The 6,400-nt window shown below is 46.7% G+C and overlaps 1 annotated feature.

Moving 5' to 3' along the window:
* Positions 377-426: an enhancer, noted in NCBI's record as "active region_7235". NCBI's record gives its function as "activates an Ori minimal core promoter by ATAC-STARR-seq in GM12878 lymphoblastoid cells {active_cell/tissue: GM12878}" and the evidence as "EXISTENCE:reporter gene assay evidence [ECO:0000049][PMID:35858748]".

Raw genomic sequence — 6,400 nt, forward strand, 5'->3', positions numbered from 1 at the left:
TATAAATGGAGTCACACCATGCGGGGCCTTTTGCACCTGGCTTTTTTCACTTGACATCATGTTTTCAAAGTTCCTCCATGGGACAGCTTGTGTCAGTGCTTTATTCCATTTCATGACCAAATAATAATACATTCTGTCGTACACAGACACCATATTTTGTTCATTCATCAGTTGATGGGCTGTTGGGTTGCTTCCACCTTTTTGCTCTGGTGAATATTGCTGCTATGTACAGGCCTGTGCAAGTATTTGAGTAACCTGTTTTCAACTCTTTTGGGCATGTGACTAAAAGTGGGATTGCTGGGTCATATGATAATTCTATGTTTAATTTTTTGAGGAACTGCCAAACCAAAAGGTCCTTTTCAAAAGTGAAGAAAATCTTCTGAAAAGCATCCCCGGAAGACTTCCTCGACACCTTACTGGCCAGAATGATGTCACTTCTCCATGCCTACAGCGTGGTCTTGGCAAGGAGAGTGATATTACCAAGACTGGCTTAAACTGATCAAGACTCAGTTTCTGTACTGGATTGGCACCCAGTCACCTCTGAATGACACTGTCGCTTGGAGGAGGGTCATTTCTAGAAGGTGGTGACACAGCTAGGTGAGTTCTCTGTCGACCACCCCCTCCCCCAACATTATTAGAGCAATTTGTGTTTCATTCAAGGGCGTAATCTAGTCTGTTCCAGCAGCCAGGCAGCCTTCCCTTTAGGGGTTGTGTAGCTGTCTTTGTTCATTGGTGTGTTTATTCTGCAAACATCTGTCTTAATAAAGAAGTGTGGGAACAAGAGTCATGACCAACAGCAAGAGGATAAAGGCTGTGTGAAGTGGAAGCTCAAGAAATATCGGAGGAGGTGTCTGGCACAATGGTGCATGCCTATAATACCAGCACTTTGGGAGGCTGAGGCAGGAGGATCACTTGGATCAGGAGGTCAGGAGTTGGAGACCAGCCTGGGCAACATGGTGAGACCTCATCTCTATAAAAAATAAAAAATTAGATGAGTTTGGTGGTACGCACCAGTAGTCCCAGCTTCTTGGAAGGCTGAGTTGGAGAGATTGTCTGAGCCTGGGAGGTCAAGGCTGCAGTGAGCCATGATCACACCACTGCCTCCCAGCCTGGGTGACAGAGTGAGACCTTGTCTCTAAAAAATAAATAAATATAAAAAAAGAGAAATATCAGAAGAAGGATCCTGAATGGTATGGGGTGTGCTTTACCTTGTAACGCCCTTGCAGAGATGCTGGGAGTGTATTTCAAGACCCCCATTTGTGGCTGGGTATGGTGGCTCGTGCCTGTAATCCCAGCACTTTGGGAGGCCAAGGCATGCAGATCACCTGAGGTCAGGAGTTTGAGACCAGCCTGGCTAACATGGTGAAACGGCAAACCCCGTCTCTACTATAAAAATAATAATAATACAAAATTAGCTGGGCCTGGTGGTGCACTCCTGCTACTTGGGTGGCTGAGGCAGGAGAATCGCTTGAACTTGGGAGGCAGAGGTTGCAGTGAGCTGAGATCAGGCCACTGCACTCCACCCTGGGAAGCAGAGTGAGACTCTGTCACAAAAAAATAAAAATAAAATAAATAAAATAAAGCTGGGCACGGTGGCTCACGCCTGTAATCCCAGCACTTTGGGAGGCCGAGGTGGGTGGATCACCTGAGGTCAGGAGTTTGAGACCAGCCTGGCTAACATGGTGAAACCCCGTCTCTACTAAAATACAAAAAAGTAGCCAGGCATGGTGGCAGGCACCTGTAATCCCAGCTACTCGGGAGGCTGAGGCAGGAGAACCACTTGAACCCAGAAGGCAGAGGTTTCAGTGAGCTGAGATCGTGCCTCACACTCCAGCCTGGTCAACAAGAGCGAAACTCCGTCTCAAAAAAAAAAAGAAAGTCTCAAATAAGAGTTTTCTTTTCTCCTTGCTACTTGCCAGTTCTGTGAACTTGCATCTGTAAGATGGAAATAATATTATCTGCTCTAATATGTAATAAACAGGTGAGAACAATTTATATCCTTTGCAATCCATAAACTACTATTCATATTAAAATTTTAAGGTAAATTCTTACCTATTTAAAAAAAATTGGCCAGATGTGGTGGCTCACACCTGCAATCCCAGCACTTTGGGTGGCTGAGGTAGGCAGATCACTTAAGGCCAGGAGTTCGAGACCAGCCTGGCCAACATGGCAAAACCCCATCTCTACTAAAAATACAAAAATTAGCCGGGTCTGGTGGTGCACACCTGTAATCCCAGCTACTTGGGAAGCTGAGGCAGGAGAATCACTTGAACCCGGGAGGCAGAGGTTTCAGTGAGCCGAGATAGCGCCACTCTACTCCAGCTTGGGTGACAGAGTGAGATTCTATCTCAAAGAAAAAAAAATTGCAGCAGTTTAATGACACAGCAGCCACCTATCTTTAGGACATAGCTTATGGGAATAAGTACACAAGGACATAGAACAGCCTCACACTACTGAGTCCATCAACTGCAGAGTTCGTGCATTTATATTCTATAAAAAGCTCAAGCCTTTAAACAGTGTCTATTTTCTTTTGTTATGAGACATTTCATTTATTCTTTTTTTTTTTTTTTTTTGAGATGGAGTTTCACTCTTGTTGCCCAGGCTGGAGTGCAATGGTGCAATCTCGGCTCACCGCAACCTCTGCCTCCCGGGTTCAAGCGATTCTCCTGCCTCAGACTCCTGAGTAGCTGGGATTACAGGCACACGCCACCATGCCTGGCTAATTTTGTTGTTGTTTTTTTTTTTTTTTTTGAGACGGAGTGTTGCTCTGTCGCCCAGGCTGGAGTGCAGTGGTGCGATCTCGGCTCACTGCAAGCTCCGCCTCCCAGGTTCACGCCATTCTCCTGCCTCAGCCTCCCGAGTAGCTGGGACTACAGGTGCCCACCACCACGCCTGGCTAATTTTTTGTATTTTTAGTAGAGACGGGGTTTCACCATGTTAGCCAGGATGGAAATTTTGTATTTTTAGTGGAGATGGGGTTTCTCCATGTTGGTCAGGCTGGTCTTGAACTCCTGACCTCAGGTGATTTGCCCACCTGGCCCTCCCAAGTGCTGGGATTATAGGCCTGAGCCACCGCGCCCAGCCCATTTATTATTTTGATAAATATGTACTGAGTTCAAAAAAATAAAAGGAAAACTGACAGCTATTTGTGACAAGAAAGTATTTAAGGGAAATACTTATTATCTTCACATCGCCTTCTCTGGGTGTCAGACTGGGAAGCGTCACTGAGGTCCTTCAAGGAGCAAGCGAGGCCAGGCACAGATTCCAGGGACACCGCTAAAGCACAGTGAGAACTCATTTGTTTTTATCTTAATGTTTATAGGAAAAATAATGTTTGAGGGTAAATGATTGTTATCGGCCCACAAAGGGCAAAGAAAGGGCAGGCTGTACAAATCTAACCGCAGTTCCTCCTGTCAGTCTTTCTCAGCATTGCCAGAAGAGAAATCTGTGGCGCAAATACGGTGTCATGTGACCATTTGGCTTCAGTTGACTGGACCAGCTACTGTCATCCATGCCTGGAAAGTCATCCACAGGCTGGCCAGAAGCCCATGAAGTGACCTGGTACAAAAGCTTTGCTCAAAAGGACATGCTCTAGCTGAATGTAGTTTCCTATAGCTACTGAAACAGATCACCACACACTTAGTGGCTTAAAACCGCAGAGCTGGCCAGGCTCGGGGGCTCACACCTGTAATCCCAGTACTCTCGGAGGCCGAGGTGGGCAGATCACCTGAGGGCAGGAGTTTGAGACCAGCCTGGCCAACGTGGTGAAACCCCGTCTCTACTAAAAATATGAAAAATTAGCCGCGTGTGGTGGTGAGCGCCTGTAATCCCAGATATTCGGGAGGCTGAGGCAGGAGAATCACTTGAACCCGAGAGGCAGAAATTGCAGTGAGCTGAGATTGAGCCACTGCACTCCAGCCTGGGCGACAGAGCGAAACTCCATCTCAAAACAAACAAAAAACCACAGAATTTTATAAGTCCAAACACAAGGGGTCAGTTGGGCCACGCTCCCTCTAGAGGTTCTAGGAGAGAATCATTTCTTGCCTCTTCCAGCTCCTGGTGGCTCCAGGTTTTTGGATGGTAGCTGCATCACTCCCATCTCTGCCTTTATCCTCACATCACCTTCTCTGTGTGTCTCCTCTGTGTGTTTTATTTCTTTTCTTTTTTGAGACAGAGTCTCGCTCCGTTGCCCAGGCTGGAGTGCGGTGGCGGGATCTCAGCTCACTGCAACCTCCACCTCCCGGGTTCAAGCGATTCTCTTGCCTCAGCCTCCTGAGTAACTGGGATTACAGGCGCCCACCACCACACCCAGCTAACTTTTGTATTTTTAGTAGAGATGGGGTATCATCATGTTGGCTGAGCTCGTCTTGAACTCCTGACCTCAGGTGATCCTCCTGCCTTGGCTTCTCAAAATGCTGGGATTACAGGCATGAGCCACCATGCCTGGAGACCTCTGTGTATCTTATAAAGACACTTGTCATTGGATTTGGGGCCCATCCAGATAATCCAGGATGACCTCATCTTGAGATCTGAAATGTAATCATGGGCAAAGACCCTTTTTTCCCAGTGAAATCACATTCACAAGTAAGCTTCCTGGGGTTAGGATATGGACATGTCTTTTGGGGGAGCCACCCTTCAACTCCCTACAGTTGGCTAGTGACTACTGGACTCCTATCCCCCACCCACAGGGAACGGGCATTGCTGGACGGTGGCAACAATCCAGTGGGGTCTTCTCTTCATGGAAGTCTGAACTTGAAACATATAAGAAATTGACACTGCCACTGGAGTTGTGCAGAGGCCAGAAAGAGGACAGGTGGTAGATACTGTGGGTAAGGAAAAGCCAGGAGGTGAGCAGGAAACCAAGTCAGAAGTCAGAGGCACAGTCAACGAAGCAGTGCCACGAGGATGGTGCCAATGCCTGTGGTTGCCCAGCAACCACATTTCATCAATCTGAAGATGCACCTTTCCCCGCCCCCCGCCCCGCATTTTGGCATTTTGGAATGTGTCTAACAACAGACGATGTCTTATTTGCTGCTTTTGGTCGGGCGGCAGCCCTGAGGTTGCTGGGACTGCCCGCAGGTAGGTGAACTCCTAGAGCGTTGTGATCCCCACGGGCAGAGCAGGCGCTGGTGGCTTTGGGAACACCGCGGGACCCTTTTCACTCCTAAGAATCCGAGGGTCAGATGCGTTTGGCAACATTCTCACAGGAGGAGTCAGAGGAGGCTCTCCTGCATGATGGGTGAGCCGGCATAGGAATTGTGCCAAGGGCCATTAGATTTTGTAGAGACTCTGAACCCCCTGTCCAGAGGACAGGAGCTGAGGACAACAGCAGGCGAAAAACACAAACCTCAAAGTGCGTGCACTGGAAAGAGACCAGAAAGCCAGATTGAAAATGTGGAGGTGTTGCAGGAGTAAATCACCGGTTTCCCTTACATCATCCTCTTTACTTTATTTACTTATTTACAGACAGGGTCTCGAACTCCTGGGTTCAGCGATCTTCCTGCCTCGGTTTCCTGAGTAGCTGAGATTGCAGGTGCCTTTTTACTTACAAAAATTTTTTTAATTGAGAGATAGAAATTGTATATATTTATGGTGTACAGCATGGTGTTTTGAAATATGTATACATTATGGAATGGCTAAAATGAGCTAATTAACATATGCATTATCTCTCATGACTTTTTTTGTAGCGAGAACACCTAAAATCTACTCTTAACAATTTTCAAGGACACAATCCATTGTTGTTGACACTATTTATTCATTTATTATAGAAATGGGGTCTTACTATGTTGCCCAGTCTGATCTTGAACTCCTGGCCTCAAACGATTCTCCTGCCTTGGCTTTCCAAAGCCTCTGTGCCCAGCCATTGTTGACTATAGTCACCATGTTGTACAATGGATCTCTTGAATTTATTTCTCCTGTCTAACAGAACATTTGTACCCTTTGATCAACCTCTCCCCAACCCAGCCACCCACCTCCAGCTCCCGGTAACCACCATTCCACCCTCTGCTTCTATGAGTTCAACTTTTTTAGATTCATATATAAGGGAGATCATGCAGTATTTGTCTTTCTGCGTCTGGCTTACTTCACTTAACATAAAGTCACCCAGGTTCATTCAAGTTGTGGCAAATGACAGGATTTCCTTCTTTTTAAACGCTGAATAGTACTTCATTGTGTATACACCACATTTTCTTCATTTATCCACTGATTGACACCTAGGCTGATTCCATATCTTTTTTTTTTTTTTTTTTTTTTTGGAGACAGCATCTCTCTCTGTCACCCAGGCTGGAGTGCAGTGTCACAATTTTGGCTCACTGCAACCTCCACCTCCCGGGTTCAAGTAATTCTCCTGCCTCAGCCTCCCAAGTAGCTGGGATTACAGGTACCCGCCACCATGCCTGAC

Source organism: Homo sapiens, chromosome 12, assembly GCF_000001405.40.
Source record: "Homo sapiens chromosome 12, GRCh38.p14 Primary Assembly".
Lineage (NCBI taxonomy): Eukaryota > Metazoa > Chordata > Mammalia > Primates > Hominidae > Homo > Homo sapiens.